Raw genomic sequence first — 17,119 nt, 5'->3', positions numbered from 1 at the left:
AGGATGGTGGGGGATTAGAGGTTTAGTGGGGTTATAGCTAAAGGATATGGAATTTCTTTTTGAGGCGATAAAAGCTGTCTAAAATTGATTGTGGTGATGGTTGTATATATCTGCGAATACAGAAAAAAACTAAATTGTACACTTTAAATGGGTGAATTATAGGGTATATGAATTATATATCAATAAAGCTGCTAAAAATAAATTTTACTTTGCTAACATTAGCATTACTGCTCCTGATTAGTTGTTATTGCTCATCTGCTATTGAATTTCTTTCTATAACCATTTATTTTTAGAGAAATTTTAATTTCCATTGGTTTTCATAGCTTTCCACTTGATCTAAGTTCAGTCATTTTATATTATGTTTTTCATACATTTTAAAAAATTCATCTTTTGCTGTACCAATTATGTCTTTGTTGCTGTTCTATAATGATTTAATTAGGTAACAACTCTTTCCTGAATTCTGTTAGTGTTACTTACAAAGTTTTCAAAATGTTCTTGGTTCTGGTTTCACTATGGTGGCATAAACCACCCCCAACCCACTCCTCTAGCTGATTATAACTAAAACCCAGAAAAAAATACAAAAACCAACCAATGTGTGGACTCTGAAAAGTAAACACAAGTAGGAGGATTGTGAATAGAAATCAAACATAGAGAAGCAAACTGCAAAGGAGTGAGTTTCCTCTTTAGCAGAAGAGGACATGTCCTAGACATGGATTAGTGCAGTGCACAAGCTGCTAAAACTTTAAGAGATACCCATCCTTCTGGCCAGCGAAACCAGGAAGGAGAGTGGAAGAGTATGTGGGAGAGAAGAAAGCTAAAGAATGGGCTTACCAAATTCTACATATAAAACCACATAAAACATAAATGTTTACCCTAAATCCTGAGTGATGCAAGCAGGATACAGGACCAAAGCAATACAGCTAAGGCTTAATGAGTAAAACTGACATTTGAGCCATTCACATGAGTCTCAGATTAGTCCCTGAGTAATGCTTGCATGAGTTGGACCCAAATGAAGAAAGCAAATGTTTAGAGAAATGAACTGAAATTTGAACCAGTACCTACAGAAGATAAGGCAAAAATCATGGTCTAAACCTAACTCAGTTGATTGCCTGGGAAAAGAAAGTGGAATAAAAGTATCTACATGGCTTCAAAGTTTCTACATTTTATCACTAAGTAGAGTATAAAAGATTAAATTGCAAAGCATAATCCCTATGATAACTACTGAAAGAAAACTACAAAGAGATATAGTAAAAAAGATGTGGATAAATGAAAATGGGATACTAAAAAGTTTCAAATAATCCAAAAGGAGATAGAGAATAGAGAAGAGAGGAACAAAAAACAGAGAACAAACAGAACACAGAGTGAGATGATAGAACCAAGTCCAAGCATATCAATAATTACATTAAATGTTAATAGTCTACATATTCCTATTCAAAGACAGTTTGACAGAGTGGATTAAAAACAAGACTATAGGCCAGGCGCAGTGGCTCACGCCTGTAATCCCAGCTCTTTGGGAAGCCAAGGTGGGCAGATCACGAGGTCAGGAGATTGAGACCATCCTGGCCAACATGGTGAAATCCCGTCTCTACTAAAAATACAAAAATTAGCTGGGCATGATGGCATGTGCCTGTAGTCCCAGCTACTCGGGAGGGTGAGGCAGGAGAATTGCTTGATCCTGGGAGGCAGGGGTTGCAGTGAGCCGAGATTGCACCACTGCATTCCAGCCTGTTGACAGAGCAAGACTCTGTCTCCAAAACAAAAAAAAAGAAAAGAAAAACAAAAACACCAAGACTATATTATTTGTTGCTTGTAAGAGACATATTTTAAATATAAAGATACAGATAGATTGAAAGTGAATGATAAAGTAAATGAAAAAGACATGCCATGCACACAATAAGAATAATAAGATTGGAGTGGCTTTTTTTTTTTTTTTTTTTTTTTTTTTTTTTTTTTTTTGAGACGGAGTCTCACTCTGTCGCCCAGGCTGGAGTGCAGTGGTGCGATCTCGGCTCATTGCAAGCTCCGCCTTCCGGGTTCACGCCATTCTCCTGCCTCAACCTCCCGAGTAGCTGGGACTACAGGCGCCTGCCACCATGCCCTGCTAATTTTTTTTTGTATTTTTAGTAGAGACGGGGTTTCACCATGTTAGCCAGGATGGTCTCGATCTCCTGATCTCGTGATCCACTCGCCTCAGCCTCCCAAAGTGCTGGGATTACATGCGTGAGCCACCGCGCCCAGCTGGAGTGGCTCTTTTTAATATTAAATAAAACAGATTTCAAGACAAAAGGTGCTACCAGAGATAAGAGGGATATTTCATAATTTTAAAAGAGACCATTCATCAGGAAATCATACAATTGTAAATGTGTGTATGTCTAATAACTTAGCCTCAAAGGGTATGAAGCAAAAATCAACAGAATTAAAAAGAGAAATGGTAGGAAATTTTAACACTTTTTCTGAGCAATTGGTATAATTAGACAAAAATCAGTGAAGACAGAGAAAATCTAAACAACATTATCTTCCTTTTAGAACTAATAGTCATTTTTTCATGTCTGAAATTCTGACTAACCTTTTTTTTTTTTCCAACTTTCATATTAGATTAAGGGGGTACCTTTGCATGTTTGTTTCCTGGGTTTATTGTGTGATGGAATCATTCATAACCCAGTTTTTCAACACTTTTCCCCCCTTCCTCCCTGCCCCCTTAAGTGGTTGATAGTTTCTGTTGTTGCCATCTTTGTGTCCATGAGTATCCAGTGTTTAGTGCCCACTTATAAGTGAGAATATGCAACATTTGGTTTTCTCTTCCTGTGTTAATTCACTTAGGTTAATTTGCATAGGATAATGGCCTCCAGATACATCCATGTTTCTGCAAATAACATGATTTCATTCTTATTTATGGCTGCACAGTATTCCACGGTGTATATGTGCCACAGTTTCTTTATCCAATCCAATGTAGTTTTTCATTGACTTTAATTACAGAGCATAGTAATGCTAACAGATGCTCTAAGGGATCTCCTGTATTCCAGATTTATTCTTCCTTATGTCCATTGTGGAGTAGTAGTCCAATTTCTCCTTGGTAGCTTGCCTATCATGCCATGTGATGATTCACCTTAATGGGCAAGTTGAGGCTCCCTGCCTTTTTTCTCCATGTAGTCAGTGTACGTGAGTGAAATAAGTTTTCCTGATAATTTGAAGATAAAATTACCTTAGAGAATGACTAGTGATAATGAACCCAAAAGTCATTTAGAGCAGAAATGCACATAGATGTTACTCGTCAATAGGTTCATGAGGATGACTGGTCCTAGGAAAATTCAATTATTTGTAAAATGAAACAAAAGAAATTATGCACTGCAGAAGAGAGAAAAGGATAATCTACAAGGTATCTAGAACAAAAAGAAAATATAATGAACAGGAATTTGTCTGTTTATCCAGCATTATCAGAAGGAGAAAGGCCCTGAATCTTGAAAACAAGAATATATGATCATTGTATTGAAGATCAGAGACAGTTCATCAGGGTTTACCATGGCCTTGAAGAAATAAATCCTGATGATTAGGAGACTTCTTTTACTCCATTCCAGTTATACAATAAGCTTTCTGCTTATGAAATCAATCTCTCAACAGTGTTGAAAGAGGAAAAATAAGTATTCTAAAGAAGGCAAATTTTACAGCCAATAGAAGAGTACTTCTTCTACTTGACATTTATAAATTGGTGTTCTGATGCATATAGACGTCCCTATACATGAGTTTGTTGAATATACATGAGTCCTAGGAAACTGATTGACTTTAGGTATTTTGACAAAACTGTATTTGAGAACTGCTAGAGCTGAAGACTAGACACTGGGTCATGGGTGACTATGTTAAGTTATTATCATTTCATGGGCTTTCTTTTGAGTGCTGATCTGTTTTTCTTCCATTTACTACTCTCTTAGTTCTCTCAATAATAAAAATACAACCCAGTATAACTTGCTTTCCTTTCTCTGCTCTTCATTGGCATTGGGGTTCCTGAATGCTTTGCATGTAGTCCCACATGAATCGTGAAGAAAGTTATGTACAGAGACATTAAAGCACATTCTGTGGATATAAGATGAAGTGTGTATAATTTTATTAGTAACTAGATTGTAATTTAAAACAAAATGGTGTTCTACATTGCAGTGTATTTATAACACAGATTCTCAGATCTCACAGGGCTTTTGTATAAAACCTGTGACTCTTTAAAACCTCTGTTCAAATACTACAATTGGAGGCTCTGAAGGGCCAAATACTTGACCCTTCAGAGTATTGACCATATATATGACAAGTATTTGACCCTTCAGAGCCTCCAATTGTCACGGCAATTACATTTTGTATCTAGGGTTACATGACAGTGAGAGCTAGTGATCTTTGATTCTGACAACAATGTTTCTTTCTTGGAGCAGAAGTTTGTCCTATACAAATTTTCTTTCAAACTTCAAATATAAAGGTCAAAAAAGTAAACTCAAATGTTGAGCTAGAAAACATGTTGAACGAAGGAGGTTCTCTGGTTGTGCCTTTGATATAGGTAGGGACTCAGCTGGGTGCCTCATGATGGCCAGTCCTGCCCTTGCTTGGGCTGGGGTTCTTTGCTCCAGTGCCACAGCCGCATGGCTCAACCAGCTCCAGAACCCACTGACTAGTAGAAAGCAGGACTTCTGGACAATAAGTAACACAGCACCAGAAGAATTATCCTTAGGCACTACTTAAATGTAACATTGCCTAACTAAACAACTTGACTTAGTGCTATTTGCTGTGTAAGAAGAGAGGAGAATTGAGTTTAAAATTTCATTTTGCAGGAAAGGCATCATTATTGTTCAGCCTCTAGTCTTCCTCACCTAAAACATATCAACCATGGCACAAGCACCTACAGAACACTTCAATGTCTGCCTGACATTGCATTACATAACAAGATCCAAAAGCTGGGCAGGAGACAGGGCTGGAAAGTTCCAATATCATCTTTCCTGTGTGAATTTTAAGCCATTTTTCACTTGCTAAGTCATTTCCAAGAATATAAAGAGAAATAGGCATTGTTGTATGAACAGAATTCGTTAATTGAGACTGTGAATTTTGAAAGTGCATTTGTAATAACAAAACCTCACTAAAGGTAACAATCAGGAGGACTCTTGGAATGGGGACTTACTTAGATTTTCTTCAGATGTTGCTATGTTTGAGAATATATCCATGGGTTCAGAAATAAAAATTGATTTGTTTCTATTTTGTTTTCTTTTAAATGACTCTTTCACTCATCTCTTCTACCTTTATGTGTTTGTTAAGTCTATTTTGTCTTTAACTCTAGATTATCGGCTGTAGGTGTTCAAAAACTTGTCATTATTGTATCACACTTTACTTCTATACAAGTGCAGCAGCACTGATGTCATCTGGTGACCATTAAGTATCCATATTCACTCGGCTACTAGTTGTTTTACTGCCCCGGGTAGATTGATAAATCTCTTATGTTGGTAATTTACAGAAAACCTCATTTAGAACTTTTCTTCAAGATATTATTACTTTTCATCAATTAAGTGGATAGAGAAAATGACAACTGGAGGATATCAAGACTATTCAAGAATGTGAAAAGTCCTTTGTTAATCCTCCAATCAACAAATATTTGCTGATTAATATATTTAGTACTAGTTTATGACTTTAGATTAATTCGTGTAATATTTTATACCATATTTTATGTCATTGGTTAAATTATTTTATTAAAAATATTCTGGATGGGTCATTTCTCCAGCATCAAAATTTTCCATTGTAATATGGAATTAAATATTTGAAAATCTAGGTATAATATAAATATGCCACTCTTCTGTGTTTCTCTTTTATACTCACTTTATATACCTCTACATAGCATTCATAACTTTGTTGAAATTGATTGATTTTTTAATCTAGTTGTCTAGAACACAAACACTTTGAAGAAGTTCAAGAATGTGTTTAGATCACTGCTTTATCCCCAAAGACTAACTCAATAAATGTTCATTGAATAAATCACTTTAAAGGAATCTTCTTACAAGGCAAGTGATTATAAATATTTAAACAATACCTTATTGCTAGGTTTTAATGTAATGTTTCAACAGATTTAGTGAATGAGACAAGTTTGTTGAATAAATTACAGTATTTAATTTTCCCATTCCTGGTTCTCTGTCTTCTTTTTGGAACTTTGTGCACTGATTTGGTATGCTTTTCCACAAACTTAAACATTTTGTTAATTAATTTTAGTAAAAAAAATACAGTGCCTGGTTACAATTTTAATCATAGAATATACTTTAAGAATCCCAGCCTAGGAATAGTAATTTTCCTACAATACATGACTGTCAGTTCTAATGTTTGGAAATTTTATAAAAATATTTATTTGCTCTTTATATTAGTTTTCTGTTGCCACTGTAAAAAAATGCATTAGGGAAAAGAGCTAATGCATACTGGGCTTAATACCTAGGTGATGGGTTGATAGGTGCAGCAGACCACCATGGCACACGTTTACCTATGTAACAAACCTGCACATCCTGCACATGTACCCTGGAACTTAAAAAAAATAGCACAAATTTAGTTACTTAACACAAATTTATTCTATTACAGTTCTGGAGGGCAGAAATCCAAAGTCAGTTTCACTGAGCTAAAGGCAAGGTATCAGCAGGGCTGGTTCTTCTAGTGTCTCAAGGGGAGAAAGTGCCCCTTGCCTCTTCCAGCTTCTAGACGCTGGCTCATGGTCTTCTTCATGCATCTTCAAAGCATTTTACTTCTCCTGTCTCACTGCCTTCTGCAGTCAAATTTCCCTCTGCCTCCTCTTTTAAGGAAACTTGTGATTATAGTATCCAGATTATGTGTGTTATACTCAGATATCTAGGATAATCTCACCATCTCAAGATCCTTAAATACATCTGTAAGGTCCTTTTTGCCATATAAGGTAACATTCACAGGTTCCAGGGATTTGGAGCTGATATTTTTGTAATGTCATTATCCAGTCTACCATACCCTCCTCTATTAATTCAATTTAAAACTAATAAAAACATTTTACGATGTGCATTAAAGGATTTATTTTTTATTGATGCTATTCACTACTTTGTCTTTTAAAGAATTAAATAATTTTGATATAAGAACATGACAAATTATATTCCCATATAAAATACAAAATTGTCTCAAGTTGTCATTTCCAAGATGTCCTAAATCTGTTCTTGGTGGCTGTGAAAGATTGGAAGGTCAATGGGTTAGAAAGGAAGTTTGGTCAGTGGGCTCCTCACTCTCCAAAAGACAACAGTGGAAATTGACTTTATTTCTTCCTGTTCTGACACTTTTCCCCTCCTATTACCTTTTTATTCAGGAGTGGTTACAGAAAACATATGTTTACTCAATTTCAGATTCCTGCCTGGACTAATGCACTGTTCCAAATATGTCACACCCTCTAAAGTGTCCATCAGTACTTTTTTATAGGCTGACTCCTGTTTTCTGAAAAGCTTTTTCAATTCTCTTCTTTACTGAGAGCAATTAGCCTTCAGAACTCAGCTTGGGACTCACTGCTTCTGATTCCACCAGGAAACCCCAGTGAGACCCTCTTATATGATCTCAACACACCAGCCCTGAGCTATCACATCACTCATCATCCTGGATTGTGACTACGTATTTATTGGTCTCTCTCCTCCTTTAAGTTGTGTGCTCCATAAAGGTAGGGATTGTGCTCTTCAGATTGTTTGTGAATAAGTAAAGGCTTGTTCAATGATTATGTCCTGAATGAATGAATGAAGTATCACTTACTAGTGAGTTGACTTATGTCACTAACTTCCTACTATTGCAATTTTTGGCTCATGCACATTAAGTAGAGTCTGAGGTATCCTAAGAAAATGACTAAAGCTTTTTTATTTATCCATAATGATATTATAAAAGTGTTCATATGCAAAATATTTTATATATTTGGGGGTGGGATCATATGGATAAGATCATACATTGGCACATGAATTTGTCATTCTGGACAAATGGACCAGTCAAGATGAAACAAATATGTGTCACTATCCCTGTGAAATGATATTAGGTTCTACATAAGAACTCTGATGAAACAGCCATTTTTACATAAGGGTACTGGAGTTATATCTGTTACCACAATACCTAAATAAAATTATACTTCCAGTAAGAATACTATTGTTTAATGCTTTGGTAGTTGAACCTATACATGTGTTTTATCATTTATTTGTATTTATTTTAACAATGTAAAATAAGAATTCTGAATGTACTGATTGATTTCACCATAAAAACTGCATATACACACATTATATATATTTACATTATATATATATATAAAATGTAAAGTCACTTAAAGATTAAGAAGTCAGTTACTCTGCATGAAGTACATGTCATTTCGGATATCTGAAAAAAAATACAGGTTTGAGTTGGGATGAAAATTATTTTCCTCAGGCAGTTTTGTAGAAGGTAGAATTTTATAGTTAAAGTAGAAATCTTGAAAAAATGTCTGCCTTTCAACTATCAATTTTTTTTTTTTTCAAAACAGGTCTTGCTTCTTCACCCGGGCTGGAGTGCAGTGGCATTAACATGGCTTACTTTAGTCTTGACCTGCTGGGCTCAAGTGTCAACTATCAATTTGTAAATCAATCATTTCCATCTTGAAAAATCAATGACCATCAACAGTCAAAAATTACTAAGTTCTTACTTTTTTTCCTGAAGGTAATATTGGTCTTTTTATTTATTTATTTTTACTGCTAATCACATTTCCTGGGTCAATTGAGAAACTATGCAACAATGATACATGAACATCCATTTCAACTGTGTATAAATAATACTTATTGACCAAACTTCAGGTTTATAGTGGAACCTGCCAACCATGGAAAATAGAGGCTGACAGCAGGATATACTATCCAAATTCCACACTTCCTGCCAAGGGTCCCCAGCATCTCGATCACTTCATTACTCTAAAGTGAATGCCCTGGCAAAATGGATGCATGGCTTATACAAGCAGGGCCACACACTCCCAGCATGACTTTGCTTCTGCTGACTTCCAGCTTCCTAATTTGCAAAAGTGAGGACTTGAGCTGATGGTGCTTTCTGAGGCCCAGCTCTAACAGGTTAGGACCTGGATTCTGACATTAATTTTTTTATTTTTTTAATACAGAGATTGAGAATTTTTGTTAATGGAACTACAACTTCAAAAGCAAATAGAAAGTCCAGTTAATTTGAGAAATGGGCATCTCTAAGAGCCTAAAAGACCCAGTAGATATATTTTTTCCTTGTAGAATTTCAGAATACTGGGACTGAGAGGGACCATAGAAATCACTGATTTTACTGTGTATAGTTTTAAATTTTTTATTTTACTTTATTTTTTGGTAATAATAATAATAGTACGTATTTATGAGGTACATGTGATATTTTGATACATGCATACTACAGGTATGCTTGTGTTATTTTTAAGATATGGACACTTTCTCCTATAGAGGTAGTGATTTGCCCCAAATTAAAGAATCACATATGGGACTAGAATCCAGTCCTTCTGCCTAATTATTCTATTGCTGTCTCCACTATACCACAATAAAGTAATTTAAACATAGTTTTCAAAAGTTACTAGGCCTTTCAAAATTCTGAACCAGATAAATAATTTGCATTATTCTCCACCTTGCGGTGAGAAGTGGTGAGAAGAACAGTAGATTGAGATCACAGGACGTGGGTAATATTGACTGAGGTTATTTGTTGCAGCCCATGGGATTCCCTGCAGTTCACTGAGCAGAAAGAGAGGAAGTCCTTTGCCTATCCTGGCACCACTAAGACAGCAGCTGCTCCCGCCATGGACGGGAGCTACAGAGTCAGGAAGCTGTCTGTCCTCTGAACAGGAAGCGGCTGAACTAGAAAACTTTGATGAATTGTAAAGTCAACACTGTGACTGCTGGCTTCCAAATCCTACTGCTTCTGTCACAATATGGGGCCCCTAAATGGATGCACTGCACCCTGTCTCTCGCTCCACGCAACTTCGATCTGAATGAAAGTCTTATGTAAGTGGATTTGAATGGCAGTACCTACCTCCATGCAGAATCTTCCCTTCAAATCAGACTGGAAAGTGGTATTTTTAGCATAAGAGAGAGGCCCAATAGAAGAGGGTTAGAATGGCTCATGAGTGATTCAATCCCCAGTATCAAACACACTGGTTTTAATCCTTCTTGGATGATCACGTGATCTTGGGACAAATTTAACCTCTCTAAAACCCCAAATAAAACAATGGATGTGAAAGCAATTTATTGTAAAGAGATTTACAAATGCTAGTTATTTAGTATTACTCTCCATGCCATTTGCACCCTTCTAGCTATTCCGGCTTCTGTTTAGCCTGTGTGGTGTGCCAGTGGATAAAACACAACGATCTTACCAGAATACAGTACCACCCTTTTATCCAATCCCTGAATATATCTGCCCATGAAAATAGTACAAAAGGGACTGGGGCGTATGATATCTTTAGCTTGGACTTATTTCCATGGCTATGTTTAGAAAAGTGTTTTAATGAGTCTTCTTGTTAGCAGGCTACAGCTTAATGCCATTTGGCTCTCCTTGAAGACTATCCTAAAACTATTCTTGATCTTGAGACTTATTTTACTTTAAAGTAAGCTGGCACACTCTGAGTCTTCAGCTGGTTCATTAATCACCTGGTGAGAAATTAGTTACCTTAGAAAACTTACTGGTGTCCTTTGGCAAAATTTTGGCATATTAAATTTAAAATTTTTAAAACTACATTCATAATCTAACTTGCCCGCCTGGGGAAACTGACCTGCCCTATGGACGCTCACTATTTTCCAGTGGCGTAGGGCTGTCTCTCATGCCCAGATGATGGTCCATCTTGATTTCCATCCTTCCTTTCTTCTCACCTGCTTTCCATCCCCTCCCCAGGATCTTTGCTATGGCCCCCCTCAATTATTTTTATTTCCAGAGCTATGTAAAATAAAAATGTAAAGTACGTTCCGACATATGCTCGTTAAGTTCTCTTGGATAACGAGCCATAGTTATTGTGGGTGAGAAAGAATGCTCACTGATTCATTTTGTAGGGAAAACATGACAGAAATTAATTTTCAGTATTGGCAGGTATTTGTACTTACACTTCCCCGTGCTTAAAAAATATTTCATGCCAGTTGAAAAATGAATTCAACATTATGATTTGTAAATATTGCTTATAAGGATTATGAAATTTTCTGTAAGAAGTAGGTTATCCCTACTGTGACTGCGGAGTGAGAACCTGAACTCTTTCTGATGATGCCTGAGTCCTTGGGCAATCTCTCTGGCCCTCAGTTTCCATCTGCATAAAACAAGATGAGTTTCGTCTCTAACATTCTATGAATCTATGAATTTTTAGCTAAAAGGGATGTCTCTTGCCCATTTCACAGATCTACCCCTAAATAAGAATATGAAGACATAATACTAAAGGGGCATTCCTACATTCTCTTCTCTTTCTACTTTTTTTCTCCTCTCTCCTTCTCCTTCCATCTGTCTTTTCTCCTTGCACTCATAGACTTTAAAAAATCAAACAAACAGATTCTGAAGAGTTGTCTTTCTTTACACAATCAGAGCTGGAGGCAGACACAGCATTTAAAAGGTAAGAGTGGAATTACCTTTGAACCTCTGGACTTATTCTTAAGGGAAGTACTAGGACATATATCACCAGAACTGTGTCAATAGGGAAAGTTTTCACTTTCTTCCTTAGCCTGGTTAGTTATCATGAGCAGTTACATATTCAAATGAATCTGTCAGGGACAAGAGTCTGGTGCTCGAGTTCCTGCTCGGCCCAATGACATTGATTTGTGAGCATAATGCTTGGCTGCGGGATGTGTGACAGATAAATTTTATCAAAATTAAGGCACAATTAAACATTTCATCTTCCTAATTACTGGCTGTAGATTCAGCCTGATGACCATGTGCTGTAAGAAATCAGCGACCATTACACATTTTAATGGAGCACAGCTGTCTTACAGCTTGGTAATATTTGCACAGTGCCACAGAACTGTAATTTATGATAAAAAGAAAAAATGTGTATTGGCACTTTTTTGCCAAAATAGATTAAGGATTCATATACTTTAATGAGATTTGGACCTAGTCTTGGATTATCGTTATAAATGATTTATGTGCATGTTGGTGGACTCCTGTAGTTCAGAGTTGATTTGTGTTTTGGTCTACCAATATGGAATTCAATATTTATTCTTGAGCCAATACCTATCACTTTCCCCCTCTTCTCTTTCTTTCACGTCTTACCTTTCTTCCACCTCTTACAAAGGACAGATGGGGAGGTGAACAAAACGAAAAGGCAATAGCAAGAAGGACTTTGTTGGAAACAACGGAAGCTTCTTTAAAACTCAGGGATTGAGTTTAGGGAGAGGGTGGACAGCAGAAGCTGAGGCACATGGCCCTCTCGGCACCACCCTGGCCCTAGATGCATGGGGCAGAGCCACACGTGGGCCTGGGGACCAAGCACGATTGCAGAAATGGCCATTGCTCTCCTGAGAAGTGGGGTGATCACGATTAAAATCTCCTGCTCTGTATTTTATAAATGCAGGGAACGACTCATTTCCCCTCCCTTCCTGGGACTCATAAGAGTACTAATGAAGATTATTATGAGTTATTTATAATTATAAATGGCAACGTGGCAGAGCTACATCTCCTGATGCCTACCGAAAGGACCTCCAGGCTGTGAGTTTGGCATTTCTTGCTGTTAACTACTGTTGGTGCCCATTTCTCTTTAGGACTGTTCTTACTGAAAAAACACTTGAAAGTGCCCATGTCTGTGGATGAATTGCTTTCAACAGATTGGGCACCAGTAAGGTCACCAGCAGTAAAAAAATGTGCATGGAAATTGTATGTGAACTGTTATGCCCCTGGTGCACAGTTGTTGTTAATAAATTGAAGAGTAAATGTAAATTGTTATATCCTATTAGTAATTATTACGATGATTAAACTTGTCCAGCAAGTTGACGTCATAATCTCCAATCCTCCTTCTATGAAAAAGATGCGTCTCTCTTCAGAAATATTTCTTTTCAGAAAGCACAGTGGATGAGAGAAAAAGGCGAGATACCAGAGTCTACACGAATCTGCTCAATTTAGGTGTTAACTTGCCTACTGAAAACAGAGAACATATCCTAATGAATTCAGCAGGCCTAAATATATACATGTAACAGGGAAGGAAGAGCTCATCTTTTTATCATCCCAATCTTCTCCAGGCTTGATTTATTTCAGCACTCATATGCTGGAATGCTTCATACTGTACCAGGTTGCATATGCTTGTACACTAATTCTCAATTGCCGTATGCAGTTTGTGACAACCATCTGCTTCGACCTCCCTTTGAGTTCTTTCTCCCACTCAGCCCAGCTGAAGTAAAAATATGGACAGAAACAACTTCTGCAGGGAAATGAAAAAGTTAATAGGAGAGTTAAAGTTACATTGTGTATCTGCCTTTCGCATGGATGTGCTCCTGCCACTTAGGCTTCACTTATCAAATATTTCTGAAGTGCAAAGCCTGACACTTAGCAGAAAGCTGTAAAAAATGCCATGTTTCCTCTGACAGTCTTGGCTGTGGAGGAAAGGTAATAATAAAATATGTACATCCAGTGCACATGCCAACGCTAGAGCCCACAGCACTGCTCCAGCAACCTAGACTTACAGTATGTAGCACCTTGTCACACACCAGAGGGAGAAGGGGGAGAGGAAGACTGAAGAGGGAGGCAAGCATATTTGAAAATGCCTAAAAAGAAATCAACAACACATTTTGGAGTTTGACTTGAAAAGGAGGGTTGATTTATATTTCCTAAAAATTATTGAATTAGAAGGTAGGAGAAAAAACCTCTATAATAACAGAGCTCAGCTCTTCTATGTTTTTGCACAGAATGTGAAAAGAGAAAACAGAGAAATGTGTCTGAGAATTTTTAAAGAGAGACCATGCATTTGTGTATTTGTGTTTGGGAGGGAGATTGAACAAAAGAGTGCTGAAGTTATTAGAAAACATACCACTGTCCTGAAAGTAATAATATTGTACTTCACCAAATCACAGGCACTACTAATTGTATCAGACCTGATCTTTTGAATGCTGAAATGTGAAAACGTGATGTCTTAAAATTAGTGAGAAGCCACACACGTACACACCATGGCTGTGTGTCTAATCATAACAATAAATAGAAAAATGGGACCACAAGAAGAATAGATGGTATGGGAGATTTATGGGAGAAGGAGGAGAGAAAAAAATAAGAGGAGATGAGAAAGAAGAAAAAACTGGAAATGTATAGAGAAGAATGCAAAAGAAATCTGAAGTAATACTGTTACATTTATATTCAGAAGACTGCCATCATAGTCTCCGTCTTCCAAAAGCATTAGTGTTTCCTCAGGAAAAGCACAAAGTGAGAACATCAAATGAAATTGGCAGATAAAGAAAAAAGAAACATCCTGGATATAGTTCTGATGAGTTTCAGATGGAATCAAATATAAAGCCTGGTGAATCATTACTAAAATGGGCAAAATACAAGTTCAGTGTGTTCTCTTGGAGTCTGAACTGCCAGATTCTATCTAATTATAATTGATCAATTCTAAAAGCCACAAGTCATGCAAACATTATCTGTTGCATTTTACCTTTAAATTTAGGTGAATTATCAGATGAATTTCAGTATAAATATATCAGAAGCAGATTGTATAGCTGGGATATATGCAACCAGATTGTATAGCTTGCAACTATTGAAATAATTTTAAAATTCTCTTAGGAAATCCCAAGGTAATTGTTAATGATCAACTGAGAGCATGGGCTTTGAAATCAGACAGGCTGGGTTAAAAGTAAGCTGGAGTTTTGACTCTGCCATTTATTAGGTTATAGACTTGATCCTCAGTTTCTTTGTCTATAAGACAATTGAAAATAGCACCTATTTTACTGTTGTTAGAACAAAATGAGAAAGTGTATGTAAGTAACCTAGAACAGTGCTCAGCACATAATAAATGCTTAGCAAATGATAGTTACTCCTCTGAGAAAAAGCTTCATGGAGACGGAGAAGAGAGATACTGAGAAACGACCAAGGACAGTTGTGGTGCATGGGACATTAGTTTTTTCATGGGCAGGCAAGGATGTGAGATGTTAAATTTGGTCATTTGAGAAAATGTGATCATATTTTGTCATCATATGATGGTGACGCTTAAATTTATAAGGATCATTCATGCCACTGATTCTTTGGCAGATATTCTATAGAACGGTGGTACATCACTCCATTTCTGGAAATATAATTATCTCCCTCCTAAATTAAACTGCTTTATCTCATGAAGGATAAGCCCTTGCCACCTTTTGTTGATTAATGCTTGAAGTCAGTTTGAAATATGTGGGACTAACTGTGTTTGTGGTTGGTGTTACATATTACATATATAGATTATAGGCACATACACTTATTAATGTATTTTAAAAATCTTTTGTAATTTCAATTTTCAAAGGTGGTCTCTATTTCATTTCTCTTCATCTCTTCCAGAAATTGAAAGACCTGATCGCTTTCATTGTTATTTTCAGTTAACTGGTTTCATCTACTTTGATTTGTGTTGTACGGAAGAATTTTTAGACACCAGATGCCTAAAACACATAGGTTAAAAGCAGGTCGATTTCAATACAAGACTATCATTTTACAGTTTAATGAATATATTTAAAAATTCCATAGTTACAAGCCTGTTGACACAGGCACATGAAATTTTTATTCTCAGCAAATAATCCAAAGCAAAAATGTTTTCTTCAGACCCTGTGTACCTATCAGTCACTGATGAGAGCCCAGCGCCTGACACTATGGTTTACGAAACTTTGAAATGGAGGAAGAGGAGATGTAGCTTGGGGCTCTTGTTAATGGTTACAGAATCCTCACACCGCAGCCAAGGCTGGCAAAGTCAACAAGAAACAGCAGGGCTTAAATAGCTCACTGCTAGTCCTAGCAGGGTTCTTGTCAGTCAAATATATTCACTGCATACCTATTGTGTGCAGAATGCATCTTTTCACTTGCCAATTCAGCACTGAGAGGTTGGTTTAGCTTTTTTATCTTTATGACCTGCAGACTGGTAACAGCCTTTCTAGCAGTATGTTCATTTTAACAATAATTTATTCCAATAAAACAAGGTGGATGTTCCCTAGATATGGCCACCATATGGCCTGAATTTTCTGAGATAATCCTGATTTTATGTAATTTTGTTTTCATTCCAATAAAGGCAATGAGTGAAATACATAATGAAATGTGATTTCAATGTTTTATGCTATTCTGAGATTTTATATAATGAATTGGCAAGTCAGAAAAAAATATTTTGCTAGATTATGTTTATGAATTTCTGGTTTGGAAAATGTGGCTACTGGGTGGGCCCTAGTATTCCTTATAAATAGATTTTATTAAATTTTTTTTTGATGTGTGCATGGTTTTGCACAAAACCATGATATTTCAGGAAGGTGCGCTAGCATCTATGGACATCTTTGACTCCACTGATGACTTCCCATTTCCTCTGTCTCATCCTTCAAGGCACACTGAAAGTTACATCCTGATGTAGTCATGGATCTTACATGTGTTAGGAATCTTTAAGTTTCAAATCACAGAGACCCCCAGCTCAAACTGACATAAACAACAGAAGAAATTTGCTAGATCACACAGCTGTGAAGGGCAATCAAGACTGGCTGTAATTGAAACTTAACCTGAAAACTCATGTGATGTCGTCAAGGACCAGTTTTTATCTCAGTTACTCTTATCTTTTGTGTTTATTTTATCCTCAGACTCTACACAGGGACCCCTGACAGTCTTCAGGTGCCATCAGGGTTTCAAAATGGCTTAGCAGTTCTAGATCTTGCATCTTCACGTCTCACTGGCAAGGAAAAGAAAGAAGATTTCTTTAGGTAGTCTCCATGGAAGAGAGAAGCTTTTTATTTCCAGAAGCCAAAACAAACATTTCCTCTGTTTCATTGGCTCTGTTTAGGTTCTGTGTCCTGTCTTCAACCAATTATTTGGCCGGAGAGATCACAAGAGGACTTAAGCTAATCAATTCCCACTTTAAAATTTGGGGATGAGGTCAATCTTATATATATCATGAAAGGTGATTAAAAATGGTTCCTCCAAAGCAAAGTTCGAGTTCTGTTTTCAGGCTATGGGAGGATGCTGGAAA

The 17,119-nt window shown here is 36.7% G+C and overlaps 1 annotated feature.

Moving 5' to 3' along the window:
• Nucleotides 15,613-16,206: an enhancer, noted in NCBI's record as "NANOG hESC enhancer chr8:66097743-66098336 (GRCh37/hg19 assembly coordinates)". NCBI's record gives its function as "activates a minimal SCP1, AML or CMV promoter by ChIP-STARR-seq in naive H9 embryonic stem cells {active_cell/tissue: H9 hESC(naive)}" and the evidence as "EXISTENCE:reporter gene assay evidence [ECO:0000049][PMID:30033119]".

The sequence above is a fragment of the Homo sapiens genome, chromosome 8 (genome assembly GCF_000001405.40).
Source record: "Homo sapiens chromosome 8, GRCh38.p14 Primary Assembly".
NCBI classification, from domain to species: domain Eukaryota; kingdom Metazoa; phylum Chordata; class Mammalia; order Primates; family Hominidae; genus Homo; species Homo sapiens.
This window is presented reverse-complemented; position numbering and strand designations above follow the sequence as displayed.